The sequence below is a fragment of the Homo sapiens genome, chromosome 1 (genome assembly GCF_000001405.40).
Source record: "Homo sapiens chromosome 1, GRCh38.p14 Primary Assembly".
NCBI classification, from domain to species: domain Eukaryota; kingdom Metazoa; phylum Chordata; class Mammalia; order Primates; family Hominidae; genus Homo; species Homo sapiens.
The window spans coordinates 232,103,336-232,125,086 of NC_000001.11; the positions used below are offsets into that span (position 1 = coordinate 232,103,336).

A 21,751-nucleotide genomic window follows, 5' to 3' on the forward strand; every position below is an offset into this window, starting at 1 on the left:
GGCTGTGGTGTTGTTGCCACTGAGATTGTATGTGTATAGTGAAGGGTATTTTATGGCAAGTGGTGACAACTGTTATAGCTTTACTTTATTCTAGTTAACTTCTTAAATAACAATAAAATGAGAGCCAAAATTTACCAAGCTCTTTCTGGGTTCTTGACTGCTGCGGGGACCCCTTGGCTAGTTTCACAAGTGTGTATAGGTGGAGTGATTTTACCCAGGGTTAACTAGCCAGGCAGAAAAGGATTGGCATAAATTTCTTTCTCTTGGGTGGAAGATACTGGAAATCCTATTTTAAGGAGTCGAGGTCTTAACAGAGTCTTTACATAAAATACACAAAAGAAAGCCCAATGAGAAGGAGAACACACCTCTACATCATGGTTCTGCATCAGTGATCTAATATGAAACAGAGGCCTGGCTCTCCTACATGGTGCATGAAGCACTGGAAGATCCATTTCCTATAGGTCTTGCCTCCAGGTATGAGAACACCAAAGCTTGCAAAAATCAATTGTGGATCTGCATTTTTTTTCAAGTATTCCTTTGTTTTCCAGACCTGAAATTGCAATGACGTTCTCACTGGAAATACTTAAAACAATCCTTCCCACATCTCTAACAAGAAGTATTAAGAGATCTCTGGGAATAGTTCCTAAGGTTAAACCCACCTATTCTCTTTTCACACTTTGTAGACTCCAAGTGCCAACAAAGCCTCCTCTGCCTGCAGTTAAAATGGTTTTCTGATTTCAGAAGACTTTTTCAATCAGGCTAGTCTTCTGAAATATGGCTCTTCTTTTAACCAATCCATATATTGTGTATATCAGCAATCTCTCTTTCTTGGAGGAAGCATGTAAGAGTCAAAATTAGTTGAGATCCCAGATTTTTTAAGTTTAAACCTCATCTGATCCCCATGTCATACCCCTCACTCCATCAAACCTTGTCCAACATCAAAGAAGAAAACTGGGCCTCAGACTTGCCAAGAATTAGATGGAAGATGGAAGTTTCTAGGATAAAGTCCAGGTGAGACCGACCTTTAGAAGTCCTAGGCATCAAAAAGTTTGCATGCCAACTACTAACACTCAACTCCCCAGTGCACAAATAAACACAAATGCAATGCAAAATCATAAAATAAGCATGAAGAGGTCTAACAAAATTTTGATTTTTCCCACACTGGTAATTTTGATTCCTCTATTTTTTGAGATTTCAGCTCTCAAGTTCTTAATAGTCTTTGAATGATCTTGCTTTGCAGTTGCATTTAGCCGATGCGGGGACTGCTGAGTAACAAGCAAAATCCGGGTCTTTTGTCTCCTGGTTCGTTACCATTCTTGCTGCAGCTCACCTCCGCTCACAGCCACACTCCACAAATTGTGTACCCTTTCTTGTTTCTGGCCGTGGCCTTGGGTCTGGCTGCAGAGTGTGTCCCATTGCGATGTTTCCTGCAAAGCAGGGTGGGTTGCTCATTCATTCATTCATTGCAATACTCCAAAGCAGGCTTCCTCCAAAGTAGGGCAGTCATCCAAGGCTTCAGATGATTGTCCTTATCATCATATGTTGTGGCCCTCTACCTGTCACTGGAGTTCCTACTGAGCAGAAATAGGATTAGAACTCCTTTTTTGAGTTACAAATTGCTTGTCCCCCTAAGTTTGTTGTTTCTTCTTTCTTCTCTCTTTTTCTTTTTTTTTTGAGACAGAGTTTTGCTCTTGTTGCCCAGACTAGAGTGCAATGGTGCAATCTTGGCTCACTGTAACCTCCACCTCCCAGGTTCAAGCGACTCTCCTACCTCAGCCTCCCGAGTAGCTGGGATTACAGACATGCACCACCACACCTGGCTAATTTTTTGTATTTTTAATAGAGACAGGGTTTCTCCACGTTGGTCAGGCTGGTCTCAAACTCCGAACCTCAGGTGACCCACCCACCTCAGCCTCCCAAAGTGTTGGTATTACAGGCATAAGCCACCGTGCCCAGACCCCCCTAAGTTTCTTTACAGTGGTTCCCCTGTCTCTTCTTCTGCCAGTGTATCTTTGTGGGAGACAGAAGACAGACAAGTATCAAAATGGCCATCCTAGATGCTAAACAGGAACTGGCTTTTCAGAAGTACTATATGTTTGCTTGTTGAAATAAAAATCATAAGCAAGAAAGAGGTAAACGAAAGTTTTTAAAGCACTCAACATTCTTCTTTCTTTCTGCTTGAAGCATACCAGACCTAAGGACAGTTTGATCCACGACAGGTACTGAACACTAAGACATTCCGGAGCTGTAAGAACGGTTAGGCCACAGTCGGGGAGAGAAAAGATAATCCACCTAAACCCACTGTGATGCTCAGCAACCAGAGGAAGAGCAGGCAGAAAGCAGCTTTGTGTCCAGACTTCTGAGGGGATGTCACCCTTTGAAGATCCTTTCAAGTTCAAAGCACAGGGGGCTCAAATGATTCCAACACAGGCAAGGAAATAAATATCTATAAACACACACGTCGGCCAGAGCTGTGCACGTGAGGCACACAACAGAGTGAGTTTTTCCAGGCTTAAGCTCTATTGTTCCCCACCCCCAACCTCAAAGCATCGAAGCATAAAAATCCAAATGAAGAAACTCACTCTAGCTTTGTGTGCAACTTCCAGGACACTCTTTTATCACTAGGTAACAAAAGAAAACCCTGAGACAGCACAGCAAGAGTGGTCTGGCTGATTATTTGCTCACTATTGATAGGGGGCCCACGGAAGACTTTGGCCCCATTGCTGCCCTTCACCTGCAGAGCAGGAGGCTGCAGTGGAGCCATCCAACTCCGCCAAGAGCTGGGTCCTGCAGCATTTTTCAAGCGATTAGCAATAGCAGTAGAGCATAATAGCTAAGTCCTTGGCTCAAGTTCTGGCCTGTTCACTACCTGGATGATCTTGGGCAAGATGTATAACTTTTCTCAAACTCAGTTTCCTCTTGTGTGAGATGGAGATATTCATAGTAAGAGTGCCCACCTCACAGGGTTAATGTGAGAATGGACAGGAATTCTGATGATGCACAAAGACGGCAGGGTACACCACAGTAAGCATTTGAATGGTCACTGCTTAAATGTTTGCGGTTGTTATCAGCTTCTTCCTTCCAAATCAAACTGTATTGATTTAATCAGTGTCAACACGATGACTTAACAACCTATCGATTTGGTCAAGTCAGTAAAAACAATCAGTCAAGCTGGTTGCTTGACATTTAGTAGATGAAAATTGACATTTTCTTCCTCCCATTTCAGGGTATGATGTCATCTAGCTGCAGACTTCAAATTCATGATTTCTGCTGCGATCAGATGGAATATTCATCTGCAGCACTTTGTGGGTGAAAAGAGGGGTGGACAAGTGCTGTGTATAATTGTGTGTACCAGGCACAGTGCCTGATGAAGACACTTGCAAGCAATGGTTCAGCTCATAGCGTGTGCTTGCTAAGATCCCACCTGCACACATATTCCTGGGACAGAAGATCAGGGCCTCTGGGGTCAGGGTGCTGATAGAGTATGTTTCCTTGTGAAGGCACCCATCTACCTGAGGGTTAGGAGTGACTGTGCTTGGGGCTGGTCACTGGCTTCCTAATTTAGGTTAAAACTGGTTTACTAAGAAGGTCAAAATACAAAAGGTCTAAATCCTCAGTTAGAGCTTTGCCCACCTTATAAAACCTTAGAGGGAGAATGGATTATACAACTATAAAGTATTTTCCAGACACAGGATTCCATGAGTATTTATGCAAAATGTTAATCCAATAAGCTGAGCTTCAAAGGCCACACATATGTTGGGTTGAAATCACGGTGGGTCACCAGTAGCTCTGTGACTTTAGGCAAGGGAATTATTCCATTAAAGCTTAGTTTTCACATCCATCAAATGGAGATGCTGTCTACCATAAAGAGTGATTTCTAAGTTACTATCTGTCAAAGTTATTTAAGGCTATTTTAGACTGCACTCTAATATAGGTATAATCAAAGCAATGAATGTAGACATAGATGCTAAAAACTCATAAGATATCTTCATATGCAATAAGGGGCCTGTTAAATACATTAGATACACTGGAGAATGGAATATAGTGCAGTCATTAAGGGTAATTGCTTTTCTTTCAGTTAGTATAAGCATTTTTTCAGGTCCATCTATATCTGTATATACAGATAGTACATACTAATCTGTACAGTATTAGTATGTACTATCTGTATATACAGATAGCATATACTATCTGTATATGCTATCTGTATATATAGATTAGCATATATTATCTGCATATACAGATTAGTATAAACATCTTTTCATGTCCATCTCTATATAGATGGACATGAAAAGATGTTTATACTAACTGAAGGAAAAGCAGATTACAAAGTAATAATATATTTAGAATGTGACCTTTACGAAGTATTTGACTCTTGAGCCCTAGGCTCAAGACCCTGACATGAGACGACCATAGCATTGCTGTCGCCTTCCATTTTATTCCCCCCACCTCCAATTTTTCACATCGTAGTGATGTATTAGAAATGTATGTATGATTATATAATTGCCCTACTTAATATCAAACCAGAGGCTCCCATGAGTGGCAGAGTAAAGCCTCAGTTCCCTCTCTACCCTAAGCCTACCATTCCCACCCCGCCCCACCCTACCACTTCAGGAACCTCATGCCTTTGCCTGGAATATCATCCCTCTTCCTCAACCTACAAATTCTTATCCATCTTTCCAGCCTCAACTGATAAATCTCCACGAAGTCTTCTTAAATGCATTTTTCCTCTGCCTCTGTCCTCAGCCTTCCAACTCTCACTCGTCACTCCAGAAAAGTTAGAGACTTTTCTCTGAATCCACACTCATTTCACTCTGTAACACCTGTCTAAGTATCCTTCACTTATTGGTTTACAAGTCTACTTCTCTCACAAAATTAGGAATATTAGGGAATCTATTGCATTCACTTTTTTAGTATTCTCAGCATTTAGTAAATGTTCAATAAATATTCCTTTGATGAATGAATAAATTCATGCTTTAGTAAATTTAAATTGACTTCCAGAGCTGAAAGAAATTTTCAGATCATGATCATACTTTTTCTTTTCCTCCCCACCCTATTTGTAAAACAAAGAAAAAGGAGAGTTGCAGACTCTTAGAGGTTGAGATTTTCTCTCTAAAGATGATGACCACTTATTAATTTATTCAGCAAATACCAGTTGAGTCCCTACTGTGGGCTGACACTGGTTGGGTTACTTAGGATATAGCTACGAACATGCAGACAAAAAAATCTCTGCCATCATGGAGCTTACACCTCGGCAGGGAGACAATGTACACCATTAATAAGTCACTTACCTGGTAGGTTAGTGGTGATGCAGTGGGAAAAAGAGAGCAGGCTAAGGGGAACCAGGAGAGCTGGGAGCCAGAGCAGATACAATTTTAAATACGGTGACATTTGAGCAAAGATGTCAAGGAAGTGTGGGAATGAGTCAGGCGGATATGAGTAGGAAGGGACAGCAGGGAGAGAAGCCAGCCCACACCAGGTTTGGCTGTGGAGGCCCCAGGGTTGGGGACAGTAGAGTAAGTTGGGGGAGGGTAGTGAGAGGTGTGTCAGAGCTCAGAGAAGTAAGGCTGGGAGGCGGGGAGGCCACATTAGGCTGGACTTTGTAGGCCATTTTAAGGATTTTTGCTTTTGCTCTGAATGAAGTCAGGAGCCCTTGGAATGCTCAAGGCAGAGGCATGGCATGGTTTGAATTATGTTTTAAAATATTACCCTGGCTGCTAAGTACAGACAGCAGAACGTAGAGAACAAATAGGGAGCCTGGTTAAGAGGCTATAGTCAATCATTCAGGCCAGAAATGGTGTGTCTTAGATCAGACAGTAGCAGTGGGAGTTGGGGAAAGGAGTAGAATATATGTATATATAAGTTGTCTCCTCCCACCCATATTGGCATAACTCATTCCCATGCCTCACACACACATACATGCACATGCACATATGTAAGAGAATATATCTAGGTGGTAGAGCCAATGAGATTTCCTATCCAACTGAATGTGGAGCAAGAGAGAAAGGACACTTAGATATTGTGTTTTTGATATACCAGACACTATGTTAAGTGCTTCATATAAATTATCTCAATTCTGTAAGCACTTGAAGGGCTAGGACAAATCAAGGTGTCTTCACTCCATGTCGTCATGCATTCTATTATGCTGCAATGCTCCTTGGATCCTATTTTATTTTAATTTGCAGGCTGGGAGGCAACAGACTTCAGTAAGCCATTTTGGCTTGGAGTACAGAGTTGTGGGTGATGTTAGATAAACTTCCTGGTGTGTAAAATGGGTTTGAAGCCAATAGCTACCATATGTTGAATGCTAATGCATGCTTCTTTTAAGCCACCCAACCAAATGTGAGTGCACATTGTTTCCTTCCATTTCACAGATGAGAAACCTGAAGATAGTCAGAATTTAGTAATTTGTCTAAGGTCACACAGTGGAGATCTGAATCAAGATCTGTCTGTTTCTCAGCCCTTGCCTTTTCCATAAGCCCAGCCTTCTTTCTGAGCCCTGGGGTGGGGATGGAGAACTGAAGATGGCAAATGAAATAGTGCCCATGAAAGTCTATAGAAATGAGTGAGAAAAGAATCTTTGAAAGTGGGAGTTCTAGGAAAATGTGTTATTCCTCTAATACTGTTACTGTTGTTACCATTGTCGACATCAGGGAAAGATGACTGATGGTCATGGTTACAGGCTGCCTGAGTTCTCTCAAGTCAATTAAACTATTTTCCTACCTGTCTTCCATTGAATGGATGCTGCCCATTAATGATGATGATACAAACAGCTGACTAAACCAAGGGTCTTCCCAAATCCAGCCCTCAGTTCTTTTCTACTTCTCTTTGTCTCCCTTCTGTCGAGTCCTCCAAATTTGTTTCCAGTCTTTCTTTTTTCTTCACTGTTTTACTTGAGTCAGCTCAACTCCTTTACAATCTCCATTCCCAATTCTCAGGGCGCTTGTCGTGTTATCATGGAGTGCTGAAGAATGCATATAAATAACACACTGGAATGTGGAGTAATTTTTCTATCCACCCAGAGCCTCTAGAAGCAGTAAAAAGAATTCCCCTTCAGCCATATACATCTGGACCCCACATGGGCTGGAGGAATGATGCTTACTGTTCAAGTCTAGCCTCAAGAAATGCAACATCAGAAATAGCTTGGCACCAGGGCTGGGTAAGACTTGAACAGCGCCTGAACACCGCTGACTTAGCTTGAGTAAGGGAACTCACTGGGCCCTGCAGCTGTGATCTCTCCCTGCAGACCTCAAGACCATTCCCTTTCCCCTCCTAAGGGGAGAATGTCAATACTCCTCTCCCTCGCCTGTAGCCGGTCCGCTCACAAGTGTGCCTCTGCATAGTAGATCAGTGTGGCCCCCACCCCCAATCTGCAGTCCTCACTGACTCAGTGGCCTGGCATGGGGGCGGCAAACGCTGACCCTGAGCTGCTACAGTTACCAGTAGCGGCTAATGTTGGTGACAACCCTGGGGGGAGGGGAGCGGAATAAGGGGAATGGGAAGTGGGATTCTGGGAGCCCTGTGGAGACTCTAGCTGCCCTTTCACCTCTCAGCTCTCTGAGCGATTTGTATTCCCAGTTCCCAGCTGTGAATCCATGCAGTCGGCTGCAGAATGCTAGGGATAAAGTGCCAAAAACCTAGCAGGAGGTGAGAAAGGAAAGCCTTTGTCATCACCTCCACACCGCTACCATGCTGCGTCTGTGTTTATAAAAGGGGGAACATAAACAGACTCGGGGAGACCTAATGATTTGGGTTATGGGGCTTTGGAAGTGGCTGAAATTCTGCCCCTTGCTTTTTGTTGACCCAGTAGAAGAAATATCACCTAGGAGGAACGCTTCAGATAAGTCAGCTGTCAAGAAAGAGGTGAAGATGATCAAATAAATAAACTCAACTGTTCTGCTAAGAGGCCAGGCTAGACTGGGGGATTATAATGGAGGCAGAGGAACTGGGAGAGCTTAGGGCCTGACTTGCCTCTTTTTTGAGTTTCTGGAGGGTGTTCAGCTCAGCGACTCTACAGAAGGAATATATATACCACCAGAAACTCCGGAAGGTGAATAGACAAAGTAGATTTCACTTCCAGGGGAAAAAACAAAAGAGTCTGCCATCTTCTTGTCTTAACTCATCGATAAAAGTCTGAAACTTGAATGCTTTCTTCTTGCATGCAGACTAGAGGGAAAGGACATTTGAATATTAATAACTGGAGGAGGCTGACTGAGGCTTGAAGTACATAAACACTTGAGTTTGATGATTAATATTTGTCATCATGGAAGATTTTTCTCCAACGTTTTCCCTGGGCACTTTTTTGGTTGAATTTATTTACTATTATCTTAAGAAAGAAATCTTTAAACCATGCAGGCTGAGGTTTGAGGCATTCTCAGTTGCTAATTTAACTTACTAAATCAGAGACTGTTTCTCCCAGTGAAAGCTTTGGATTCTTCACTAATCCTAATTGTCGATAAAAAACTGGTAAGTGGTAATGAGGCAGGAAGCCGTGGATGGCTGTGAGATCCCAGGAGGGTATTACCCTCTCCTTCAAATATCTGGATCAACAACCAGCCATTAGCCACAGTGTGATGTAATTATATTGGAAGAACTTTGGACAGATGGTTGAGATGTTTCTGTTTATACTGTAATTCTTTCCCCTAAAATATATATTTATTTGATATCAGACTAAGCATATTTAGATGAATAGTCTGTTCATCTATTTTTTCCCCTCTCTGGGACCTTTTTTTAAAACCCCTTTTTGCTCTGAGTTTCTGTTATAAGAACATACAAAGATGAAAGGCCAGAAAGTTAGCTTTTAAACCTGGCAATAAACCCTATAAACCAACCAACATCAAGGGAGAGGGCACTAGAGCATTGTCAACTGTGACAAGATAATCTCAGAAACAGACCCTGCTCAAGTTCAAATTCAATACAGATGGAGATTTTTAAAATAAAGTGGGCTGGGAAGGAGAATGATCTTTGCTGACCTAACTCCAAAGCAAGAAGCATAATCTGGCCCAAATCTTAAAAATAGAGAACTGTCCAAGAATAATAATAGTATCTTGCTGGGAAAGACTTTTTATCTTAGTTTAGTCAGAAAAAATAGAATGTAAAGCTTTTCTCAATTTCTCCAGTCCCACATTGTGAGCCCTGGTTCTTTATTAGTCCTTTTCTAAACCACGGGTAGATATGAATGGTGGTGGATAAATTCAGCCAAGGAGGAATTGTGGGTAGGTAGAGACACAGATGCAGGGGAGGTAGATGAATCAAAATTGAAGGTGCAGGGATGGGTTAGGACTGTGTGGCTAGACTCCTTTTCTAGAACTACTTATGGTTTCCTGAACAGCCCTGCTATGTCATATCACTTGCCCCTGGGCCAACTATTCTGCTAAAAGGCCACTCCAGACTAGGTGACTATGATGGAGGCAAAAGAATTGAGAATGCTTATGGCCTGACTTGCTCCTTTTTCGAGTTTGCACATGCTGTTCCCTTTGACAGTCTTCTTATCCATTCAAGATAAGACTTACCCTGCAAAACTCAGCTCATTGAGGACCTTCTCTGGAAATCCCTCCGTTTTTCCTGGTTGGATCAACAACCACTCTTCCCTTGGTACATTCTGCCTCTGTCTCAGCCCCTGTCTACCAGAGTGATATTCATGTTGACTCAACTGACTTCAATACTTGTCTGTGAGTTCTTTGAGAACAGGGACCTTATTCTTATTACATCTGTCCCAGGTGATGCCAAGCTGTAGTAGGCACAGAGTGAATATTTACTGAGTTTGATTTTATTAGAATTGAGTTGAAGTGAATTGAGAATTAGATCCCCCACTCAATGGCTTTCATAGCAGAAATGCTGGAGTCATATGTTAATTTAAAGTTGTTCTTTTTCTGGCATGAATTGGGCCAGGGAATAAGATGCTCTTAGGCTGTATCTAGGTTGATTCCATGACTTGGCTGTTGTGACTAGTGCTGTGATGAACCTATGAGCACATGTGTCTTTTTGGTAGAGCAATTTATTTTCCTTTGGGTATAAAATAAAATATGGTACATATACACCATGGAATACTATGCAGCCATAAAAAGAATGAAATCATGTCCTTTGTGGCAACATGGATGCAGGTGGAGACCATTATCCTAAGCAAATACAGGCAGAAAGAGTAAACCAAATACTGCATGTTCTCACTTATTAGTTGGAGCTAGGCACTGGGTACACATGAACATAAAGACAAGAACAACAGACACTGAGGACTACTAAGGCGGGGAGAAAATGAGGGAGGTAAGGATCTAAAAACCACCTACTGGGTACTATGCTCACTACCTGGGTGACAGGATCATTAGTACCCCAAACCTCAGTGTCATGCAATATACTCTTGTAGCAAACCTGCCCACGTACTCCCTGATTCTAAACATTGAAATTATAAAAGAAAAAAAAAAACCCAAAACTAAAGTGAGCCTCTTTTCTTCCAACCCACTGAGGTATTGTAGAGCCAAAGATATAATTAATGTATATCCCAAACTGGCAGGTTGTGGCATAAAAATGCGGCCCATCGACATTTAAAAAACAAACATTTGGTGGACATGAGGCACATTACCAATATAAGTGAGGGATTTTGTTTTCTTCTTTATCCGTAACTTGTCAGAAGCCTGGTGAGAAATCTCAGAGATACGGTCATGTGCCGCATAATGTTTCGGTCAATGATGAGCCACATATACAGGTGGTCCCATAAGATAATAATTGAGCTGAAAATTTCCCATTGCCTAGTGATGTAGCTATTGCAACCTTGTAGTGCAATTGCTTTATTTTTTAAGTAAATGTAGTGTAACCTAAGTGTACAGTGTTTATAAAGTCTACAGTAGTGTATAGTAATGTCCTAGACCTTCACATTCACTCACTACCCACTCACTGACTCACCCAGAGCAACTTCCAGCCCGGCAAACTCCATTCATTGTAAGTGCCCTATACAGGTGACCATTTTTTATTTTGTATACCTATTTTATTTTTTATACTTATTGTATACCTTTTCTATGTTTATATACGTTTAGATAGAAAATTACTTACTACTGTGATACAGTTACCTACAGTATTGAGTATAGGCACACTTTTACAGATTTGTAGCCTAGGAGCAATAGACTGTACCATATAGCCTAGATGTGGAGTGAGCTATACCCTCTAGGTGTGTCTAAGTACGCTCTGTGATGTTTTCACAACCACTAAATCACCTAAGGATGCTTTTCTCACAATGTATCCCCATCATTAAGCAATGCATGTCTATGTTTTAAAAGTTCTAGCTAGTTGTATAAATTACCTGTTTAGTTCCTATCTTTCATTAAATCAAATTGAAGTTAGCAAGAAAGACAGTCTCACTCCATTGCATGCCTGATCTCTCTGGAGACTTAGAGTATTCCAAGTTATGGTTTGAGAGGATCTGGAACATGGTGTTACATAAGCATTTAAAGACTGTAGAGTCACAGAAACTTGGATTTGAATCATGGATCTGCCAAATAAAAATAAGATCTTTAACCTTTTTATTTCTCTCCTTATAAAAATGAAATCAGTCTAGATAAATCATTTAATCCAGGGTCCACTACTCTGTAAGAATTTAATAACCAATTATTATTGTTATTATTATCTACTACCAGATATTCCAACACCAGTTGAGAAGCTCAAGCAATTTGCTGAGCATTTTTGTTCATTGCCACCTTCTGAGTAAACTCTACCCTTTTGACTCCTGATGTAATACTTGCAGTTTATTAATAATACAATTTAGACTTAGCATCCTGCTACCAAGTCAGTATTTTTTCACCATCTTGAATCTGATTATGACATTTAATAGGGAAACAATTAGACAAGACCAGTTGTTTCATAATGAGATTAAAGAGTTATCATTTGAGATTATCTAATTCAATGCCTTGCTTGCCAATGGCATTAACTCAACTCTCAATGCACACAACAGAGTAGGTCATGGGTTCAGGCTCAGGTGACAAGATGCCAAAGGCTTGAGCATCAATTTACCTATCAAGGTTCCCCACATAGCTCATTCTGTGATTTTTTTTTTTTGGTTATAATAGTTGCAATAAAGTCAGAGTATCTCTCCTTTGATAACATGTAGTAAACATATACTTTTATGCCATGAAATTTATAGAGAACATACAAGCGGTTGAAACACTAAGCTCACAAACGACACTTACCAGAAATGAAAAGGCACATGGTTAATGCATTGTCCTGGTTTTAGATAATTATTTTAAGACATATTCCCAGATTATGCTTACTCTGTGCCTAACCCAGAGCTAACCAATTATGGAACAAAGAAAAGATATGCTGTGGCATCTGCTGTCAGATTTAGCTACAATTAGGGTTATCTGGTGATCAGAATTATTAACCGAGGTCCCTAATGACGTGAAGAAAAATATATTACCCAAATGCAACCGGATAATGCCCACATTGGCTAATAGATGATATTAACATTAGCCAGCTAAATGTGAAATTATTGATTTCTTTTTGCAGATTGGATAGAAACAAAAGTTCAGCTAATTTTAAAATAAGCTATTGAGAAGAGTGGCATTTTTCTTTTTTAAAAAATAATTTTTTCAGGTGACATTCATACAAAATTAGCCATTTTAAAGTGAGCAATTCAGTGGCATTTTATGTATTCACAATGTTTTGCAGCCACAATCTCTATTTAGTTCCAAATATGTCCATAACTCCAAAGTAAAACCCATAAATAATAAGCAGTTTCTCCCAATTCCTTCCTGTCTCATCCCTAGCAACCACCAGCCTGCACTTTATCTCCTTGGGTTTATCTATTTTGGATATTTCATATGAATAAACTCATAGAATACATGACCTCTTCTGTCCGGCTACTTTTGCTTAGCATGTTTTCAAGGTTCATCCATGTGGTAGCATGTACAGTACTTTGTTTTATTTTATGGACAAATAATATTTCACTGTATGTATATACCACAATTTCTTTATTCATCTCTTGATGAACATTTGAGCTGTTTCCACTTTTTGGCTATTGTGAATAGTGCTGTCATGAACAGATGTGTATATGTACTTGTTTGAGTACCTGTTTTCAATTCTTTAGGGGTGTATGTATATATATACACAGAGACAGAGAGAGAGAGAGGCAGAGTTTCGCTCTTGTTGCCCAGGCTGGAGTGCAATGGCGCTATCTTGGCTCACTGCAACCTTTACCTCTTGGGTTCAAGCGATTCTCCTGCCTCAGCCTCCTGAGTAGCTGGGATTACAGGCATGCACCACCATGCCTGGCTAATTTTTGTATTTTTAGTAGAGACAGGGTTTCTCCATGTTGGTCAGGCTGATCCTGAACTCTCAACCTCAGGTGATCCGCCCACCTCGGCCTCCCAAAGTGCTGGGATTACAGGTGTTTGATTTTAGCAATTCTAGTTAGTGTTGAGTGGTACCTCATTGTGGTTTTGATTTGCATTTCTTCTAATGACTAATGAGGTTGAGTATTTTTTACTGTACTTATGGGCCATTTGTACGTCTTCTTGAGAAAAATGTGTATTTAAATCCATTGCCTATTTTTCAATGGGGTTTTCTTTTTGCTCTTGAGTTGTAGAGTTCTTTATACACTCTCAATATTGAATTCATATGAGATCTGTAATTTGCAAATATTTTCTCCCATTCTGTACGATGTCTTTGTACTTTCTTGATTATGCCCACATATGCACACAATTGTTTATTTTTATAAAGTCCAACACCTTTGTAGCTTGTGCTTTGGGTATTATACTTAAGAATCGATTGCCAAATCGAAGGTTACAAAGACTTAACCCTATGTTGTCTTCTAAGATTTTTGTGATTTTAGCTCTTATATTTAGATCATTGACTCATTTTGAGTTAAGATTTGCACATGGTGTGAAGAAGTTCAAGTTCATTCTTTCACATGTGTGATGGTCTAAGCACCATTTGTTGAAGAAACAACCTTTTCCCCATTGAATGGTTTTGGCATCCTTGTTGAAAATCAATTGGCCATAGATAAATGAATATTTTGGGGCTCTCAATTATATTCATTTTGTCTATATGTTTATCATTATGTCCATACCACACTTTTGATTACTGTAGCTTTATAGAAAGTTGTATAATTAGGAAATATAAATCCTTCAGCTTTGTTCTTTTTCAAAATTTTTTTGGCTATTCCAAGCCTTGAAATTCCATATGGATTTGAGGCTCAGCTTTTCCATTTCTGCAAAAAAGAGAAGTTCTAATTTTGATAGGGATTACACTCACTCTATAGATTGCTTTGGGTAGTACTGATGTCCTAAAAATATTGTCTTCCATGATCATAGGAATATTTTCATTTATTTTGGTCTTCTTTGATTTTTTTTAAAGTAATGTTTTCTAGTTTGCAATGTATGAGTCTTTCACTTCCTTGGATAAATTTATTCCTAGGTATTGTATTCTTTTGATGCTATTGTAAATAGATTTCTTTTGTAATTTCTTTATTAGCTAGTTCATTACTGTTATACAGAAACTACTGATTTTTGTGTGTTGATGTGGTGCCTTTCAGCTTTCAGCTAATAAGTGAATTCATTCATTAGCATCAGTAGCTTTTTCAGTGGATTATTTTGGAAATTTCATATGTGTAGAATAATGTAATCTGTGTGTAGAAATAGTTTTACTTATTAGGCTGGCACAGTGGCTCATGCATGGAATCCTAGCACTTTGGGAAGTCGAGGTGGGAGGATCGCTTGAGCCCAGAAGTTTGAGACCAGCCTGGACAACATACACAATGTCTTTACGAAAAAGAAAAGGGAAAGAAATTAGCCAGGCATGGTGTCAGGCCTCTGAGCCCAAGCCAAGCCATCGCATCCCCTGTGACTTGCACATATATGCCCAGATGGCCTGAAGTAACTGAAGAATCACAAAAGAAGTGAATATGCCCTGCCCCACCTTAACTGATGACATTGCACCACAAAAGAAGTGTAAATGGCTGGTCCTTGCCTTAAGTGATGACATTACCTTGTGAAAGTCCTTTTCCTGGCTCATCCTGGCTCAAAAAGCTCCCCCACTGAGCACCTTGCGACCCCCACTCCTGCCCGCTAGAGAACAAACCCCCTTTGACTGTAATTTTCCTTTACCTACCCAAATCCTATAAAACAGCCCCACCCTTATCTCCCTTCGCTGACTCTCTTTTCGGACTGAGCCCGCTTGCACCCAGGTGAAATAAACAGCCATGTTGCTCACACAAAGCCTGTTTGGTGGTCTCTTCACACGGACGCGCATGAAATTTGGTGCTGTGACTTGGATCGGGGGACCTCCCTTGGGAGGTCAATCCCCTGTCCTCCTGTTCTTTGCTCCATGAGAAAGATCCACCTACGACCCCAGGTCCTCAGACCGACCAGCCCAAGGAACATCTCACCAATTTTAAATCAGGTAAGCGGCCTCTTCTTACTCTCTTCTCCAACCTCTCTCACTGTCCCTCAACCACTTTCTCCTTTCTACTCTTCAATCTCTCCCTTCTCTTAATTTTAATTCCTTTCATTTTCTGGGAGAGACAAAGGAGACACATTTTAACCATGGACTCAAAACTCGGCGCTGGTCACGGACTGGGAAGGCAGACTTCCCTTGGTGTTTCATCATTGCAGGGACGCCTCTCTGATCATTCACCCACATTTCAAAGGTGTCAGACCATGCAGGGACGCCCACCTTGGTCCTTCACCCTTAGCGGCAAGTCCCGCTTTTCTGGGAAAGGGGCAAGTACCCCAACCCCTTCTCTCCTTGTCTCTACCCCTTCTCTGCTTTTCTGGGGGAGGGGCAAGTACCCCTCAACCCCTTCTCCTTCACCCTTAGTGGCAAGTCCTGCTTTTCTAGAGGAGGGGCAAGTACCCCAATCTCGTATCTCTGTGCCCCAATCCCTTATTTCCGTGCCCCAACCTCTTATATCTCTGCGCCCCAATCCCTTATTTCCGTGCCCCGACCCCTTATTTCTGTGCTCTGACCCCTTATTTCTGCACCCCATCCCTTATTTCCACACCCCGACCTCTTATCTCTGTGCCCCAACCCCTTTTCCCACTTTTCTGGAAGGTAAGAACCCCCAAACTTCCCTTCATTTCTCTACTCTCTCTTTTCTCCAGGCTTGCTTCCTTCACTATAGGCAACCTTCCACCCTCCATTCCTCCTTCTACTCCCTTGGCCTGTGTTCTCAAAAACTTAAAACCTCTTCAACTCACACCTGACCTCAAACCTAAATGCCTTATTTTCTACTGCAATGCTGCTTGACCCCAATACAAACTTGACAGTAGTTCCAAATAGCCAGAAAATGGCACTTCGAATTTTTCCATCCTGCAAAATCCAAATACTTCTTGTCGTAAAATAGGCAAACGGTCTGAGGTGCCTGACATCCAGGCATTCTTTTACACATCAGTCCCTTCCTAGTCTCTGTGCCCAGTGCAACTTGTCCCAAATCTTCCTTCTTTCCCTCCCACCTGTCCCCTCAGTACCAACCCCAAGCATCGCTGAGTCTTTCTAATCTTCCTTTTCTACAGACCTATCTGACCTCTCCCTTCCTCCCCAGCCTGCTCCTCACCAGGCCAAGCTAGGTCCCAATTATTCCTCGGCCTCCACTCCTCCACCCTATAATCTTTTTATCGCCTCCCCTCCTCACACCCGGTCTGGCTTACAGTTTCGTTCCGTGACTAGCCCTCCCCCACCTGCCCAGCAATTTACTCTTAAAAAGGTGGCTGGAGCCAAAGTCATAATCAAGGTGAATGCTCCTTTTTCTTTATCCCAAATCAGATAGCGTTTAGGCTCTTTTTCATCAAATATAAAAATCCAGCCCAGTTCATGACTTGTTTGGCAGCAACCCTGAGACGCTTTACAGCCCTGGACCCTAAAAGGTCAAAAGGCTGTCTTATTCTCAATATACGTTTTATTACCCAATCTGCTTCCGACATTAAATAAAACTCCAAAAATTGGAATCTGGCCCTCAAACCCCACAACAGGACTTAATTAACCTCACCTTCAAGGTGTACAATAACAGAAAAAAGTTGCAATTCCTTGCCTCCTCTGTGAGACAAACCCCAGCCACATCTCCAGCACACAAGAACTTCCAAACGCCTGAACCGCAGCAGCCAGGCGTTCCTCCAGAACCTCCTCCCCCAGGAGCTTGCTACACGTGCCGGAAATCTGGCCACCGGGCCAAGGAATGCCCGCAGCCCGGGATTCCTCCTAAGCCGCGTCCCATCTGTGTGGGACCCCACTGAAAATCGGACTGTTCAACTCACCTGGCAGCCACTCCCAGAGCCCCTGGAACTCCGGCCCAAGGCTCTCTGACTGACTCCTTCCCAGATCTTCTCAGCTTAGCGGCTGAAGACTGACACTGCCCGATCGCCTCGGAAGCCCCCTAGACCATCACGGACGCTGAGCTTCGGGTAACTCTCACAGTAGAAGGTAAGCCCGTCCCTTTCTTAATCAATACGGAGGCTACCCACTCCACATTACCTTCTTTTCAAGGGCCTGTTTCCCTTGCCTCCATAACTGTTGTAGATATTGACAGCCAGGCTTCTAAACCTCTTAAAACTTCCCAACTCTGGTGCCAACTTAGACGATACTCTTTTAAGCACTCCTTTTTAGTTATCCCCACCTGCCCAGTTCCCTTATTAGGCTGAGACACTTTAACTAAATTATCTGCTTCCCTGACTATTCCTGGACTACAGCTGAATCTCATTGCCGCCCTTCTTCCCAATCCAAAGCCTCCTTTGCGTCCTCCTCTTGTATCCCCCCACCTTAACCCACAAGTATAAGATACCTCTACTCCCTCCTTGGTGACCGATCATGCACCCCTTACCATCTCATTAAAACCTAATCACCCTTACCCCACTCAACGCCAATATCCCATCCCGCAGCACGCTTTAAAAAGATTAAAGCCTGTTATCGCTTGCCTGCTACAGCATGGCCTTTTAAAGCCTATAAACTCTCCTTACAATTCCCCCATTTTACCTGTCCTAAAACCAGACAAGCCTTACAAGTTAGTTCAGGATCTGCGCCTTATCAACCAAATTGTTTTGCCTATCCACCCTGTGGTGCCAAATCCATATACTCTCCTATCCTCAATACCTGCCTCTACAACCCATTATTCTGTTCTAGATCTCAAACATGCTTTCTTTACTATTCCTTTGCACCCTTCATCCCAGCCTCTCTTTGCTTTCACTTGGACTGACCCTGACACCCATCAAGCTCAGCAAATTACCTGGGCTGTACTGCCGCAAAGCTTCACAGACAGCCCCCATTACTTCAATCAAGCCCAAATTTCTTCCTCATCTGTTACCTATCTCGGCATAATTCTCATAAAAACACACGTGCTCTCCCTGCCAATCGTGTCCGACTGATCTCTCAAACCCCAGCACCTTCTACAAAACAACAACTCCTTTCCTTCCTAGGCATGGTTAGTGCAGTCAGAATTCTTACACAAGAGCCGGGACCACACCCTGTAGCCTTTCTGTCCAAACAACTTGACCTTACTGTTTTAGCCTAGCGCTCATGTCTGCGTGCAGCGGCTGCCACTGCTTTAATATTTTAGAGGCCCTCAGAATCACAAACTATGCTCAACTCACTCTCTACAGTTCTCATAACTTCCAAAATCTATTTTCTTCCTCATACCTGACGCATATACTTTCTGCTCCCCGGCTCCTTCAGCTGTGCTCACTCTTTGTTGAGTCTCCCACAATTACCGTTGTTCCTGGCCCAGACTTCAATCTGGCCTCCCACATTATTCCTGATACCACACCTGACCCCCATGACTGTATCTCTCTGATCCACCTGACATTCACCCCATTTCCGCAAATTTCCTTCTTTCCTGTTCCTCACCCTGATCACGCTTGATTTATTGCTGGCGGTTCCACCAGGCCTAATCGCCACACACCAGCAAAGGCAGGTTATACTATAGTACAAGCCACTAGCCCGCCTCTTAGAACCTCTCATTTCCTTTCCATCGTGGAAATCTATCCTCAAGGAAATAACTTCTCAGTGTTCCATCTGCTATTCTACTACTCCTCAGGGATTCTTCAGGCCCCCTCCCTTCCCTACACATCAAGCTTGAGGATTTGTCCCCACCCAGGACTGGCGGATTAGCTTTACTCAACAGGCCCGAGTCAGAAAACTAAAATACCTCTTAGTCTAAATAGACACTTTCACTGAATAAGTAAAGGCCTTTCCTACAGGGTCTGAGAAGGCCACCGGAGTCATTTCTTCCCTTCTGTCAGGCATAATTCCTCAGTTTAGCCTTCCCACCTCTATACAGTCTGATAACAGATGAGCCTTTATTAGTCAAATCAGCCAAGCAGGTTTTCAGGCTCTTAGTATTCAGTGAAACCTTTATATCCCTTACGGTCCTCCGTCTTCAAGAAAAGTAGAACGGACTAAAGGTCTTTTAAAAACATACCTCACCAAGCTCAGCCACCAACTTAAAAAGGACTGGACAATACTTTTACCACTTTCCCTTCTCAGAATTCAGGCCTGTCCTGGGAATGCTACAGGGTACAGCCCATTTGAGCTCCTGTATGGACGCTCCTTTTTATTAGGCCCCAGTCTCATTCCGGACACCAGACCAACTTAGACTGTGCCCCCCCGCCCAAAAAAAAACTTGTCATCCCTACTATTTTCTGTCTAGTCATAATACTCCTATTCACCGTTCTCAAGTACTCATACATGCCCTGCTCTTGTTTACACTGCCGGTTTACACTGTTTTTCCAAGCCGTCACAGCTGATATCTCCTGGTGCTATCCCCAAACTGCCACTCTTAACTCTTGAAGTAAATAAATAATCTTTGCTGGCAGGACTATGCTGAATCTCCTTAGGCACTCTCTAATCAGATGTCCTAGGTCCTCCCAATTCTTAGACCTTTTATACCTGTTTTTCTCCTTCTGTTATTCCATTTAGTTTTTCAATTCATACAAAACCGTATCCAGGCCATCACCAATCATTCTATACGACAAACATTTCTTCTAACATCCCCACAATATCACCCCTTACCACAAGACCTCCCTTCAGCTTAATCTCTCCCACTCTAGGTTCCCACGCCGCCCCTAATCCCGCTTGAAGCAGCCCTGAGAAACATTGCCCATTCTCTCTCCATACCACCCCCCAAAAATTTTCGCCGCCCCAACACTTCAACACTATTTTGTTTTATTTTTCTTATTAATATAAGAAGGCAGGAATGTCAGGCCTCTGAGCCCAAGTCAAGCCATCGCATCCCCTGTGACTTGCACATATATGCCCAGATGGCCTGAAGTAACTGAAGAATCACAAAAGAAGTGAATATGCCCTGCCCCACCTTAACTGATGACATTGCACCACAAAAGAAGTGTAAATGGCTGGTCCTTGCCTTAAGTGATGACATTACCTTGTGAAAGTCCTTTTCCTGGCTCATCCTGGCTCAAAAAGCACCCCCACTGAGCACCTTGCGACCCCCACTCCTGCCCGCCAGAGAACAAACCCCCTTTGACTGTAATTTTCCTTTACCTACCCAAATCCTATAAAACGACCCCACCCTTATCTCCCTTCGCTGACTCTCTTTTCGGACTCAGCCCTCCTGCACCCAGGTGAAATAAACAGCCATGTTGCTCACACAAAGCCTGTTTGGTGGTCTCTTCACACGGACGCGCATGAAACATGGTGACACACACCTGTGGTCCCAGCTACTCTGGAAGTTAAAGTGGGAGGATCACTTGAGCCTGGGAGGTTGAGGATGCAGTGAGCTGTGATTGTGCCACTGCACTCCAGCCTGAGTGACAGAGTAAGAACCTGTCTAAGGAAAAAAATAGTTTTACTTCTTTCTTTCTAATTTGGATGCCTTTTATTTTTTTATGTTTAATTGCTCTGCGTAGGGGTTTTAGTGCAATGTTGTACAGCAGTGGTGAAAGCAGACATTCTTGTTTTGTTCCTGAACTTAAGGGGAAAGATTTCAGTCTTTAACCATAGAATCTGATATTATCTGTAGGTTTTTCATAGGGAAATTCCCTTCTGTTTCTAGCTTTCTGAGTGTTTTTATGATGAAAGGTAGCAGATTTTGTCAAATGTCTTTTTCTGCATCAATCGAGATGATCAAGCATTTTTCCTCCCTTTATTAATGTGTTGTATTACATTGTTCCTTTTGTTGTTGTTGCTGTTGTCATTGTTTTTGGTGGTGGTGTTGAATCACTCTTGCATTCCTGGAATAACTACCGCTTGGTTGTAGTGCATAATCTATTTAATGTGCTGCTGAATTCAATTTGTTAGTACTTTTGTTTTACAAAGGATGTTGATCTGTAATTTTCTTTTTTTTTTTTTCTTGTTATTTTCTTTTCTTGTGATTTCTTTTCATCACAAGAAACCTGACTTTGGTATCAGGTTAATGCTAGCCTCATGGAATGAATCAGGAAGTGTTCTCCTCTCTTTCATTTCTGGAAAGAGTTTGAGAAGAATGGGTGTTCATTCTTCCTTAAATGCTTGGTAGAATCCCCAGTGAAGCCATCTGTCCCTGAACTGTTCTTTGTTGAGAGGTTTATTACTGATTCAGTGTTTTCATTTGTTATAATTCTGCTCAGATTTTATATTTCTTCTTGAGTCAGTTTTGATAATTTGTTTTTTTCTGGGAATTTGTTCATTTCGTTTACATTATCTAATTTGCTGGCGTATAACTGTTTATAGTATTTGTTTAAATTCTTTTTGTTTCTGTAAGGTCAGTAATAATGTCTTCCACTTTTATTTTACTTATTTGTGTCCTCTTTCTTTGTTGTCAATCTAGCTAAAGATTTGTCAGTTTTTAAGA

At 42.0% G+C, this 21,751-nt stretch overlaps 4 annotated features.

The window, feature by feature from the left end:
- Positions 14,462-15,267: an enhancer, noted in NCBI's record as "OCT4-NANOG-H3K27ac-H3K4me1 hESC enhancer chr1:232253543-232254348 (GRCh37/hg19 assembly coordinates)". NCBI's record gives its function as "activates a minimal SCP1, AML or CMV promoter by ChIP-STARR-seq in naive and primed H9 embryonic stem cells {active_cell/tissue: H9 hESC(naive and primed)}" and the evidence as "EXISTENCE:reporter gene assay evidence [ECO:0000049][PMID:30033119]".
- Positions 19,022-19,675: an enhancer, noted in NCBI's record as "H3K27ac hESC enhancer chr1:232258103-232258756 (GRCh37/hg19 assembly coordinates)". NCBI's record gives its function as "activates a minimal SCP1, AML or CMV promoter by ChIP-STARR-seq in naive H9 embryonic stem cells {active_cell/tissue: H9 hESC(naive)}" and the evidence as "EXISTENCE:reporter gene assay evidence [ECO:0000049][PMID:30033119]".
- Positions 19,676-20,329: an enhancer, noted in NCBI's record as "OCT4-NANOG-H3K27ac hESC enhancer chr1:232258757-232259410 (GRCh37/hg19 assembly coordinates)". NCBI's record gives its function as "activates a minimal SCP1, AML or CMV promoter by ChIP-STARR-seq in naive and primed H9 embryonic stem cells {active_cell/tissue: H9 hESC(naive and primed)}" and the evidence as "EXISTENCE:reporter gene assay evidence [ECO:0000049][PMID:30033119]".
- Positions 20,330-20,983: an enhancer, noted in NCBI's record as "OCT4-NANOG-H3K27ac hESC enhancer chr1:232259411-232260064 (GRCh37/hg19 assembly coordinates)". NCBI's record gives its function as "activates a minimal SCP1, AML or CMV promoter by ChIP-STARR-seq in naive and primed H9 embryonic stem cells {active_cell/tissue: H9 hESC(naive and primed)}" and the evidence as "EXISTENCE:reporter gene assay evidence [ECO:0000049][PMID:30033119]".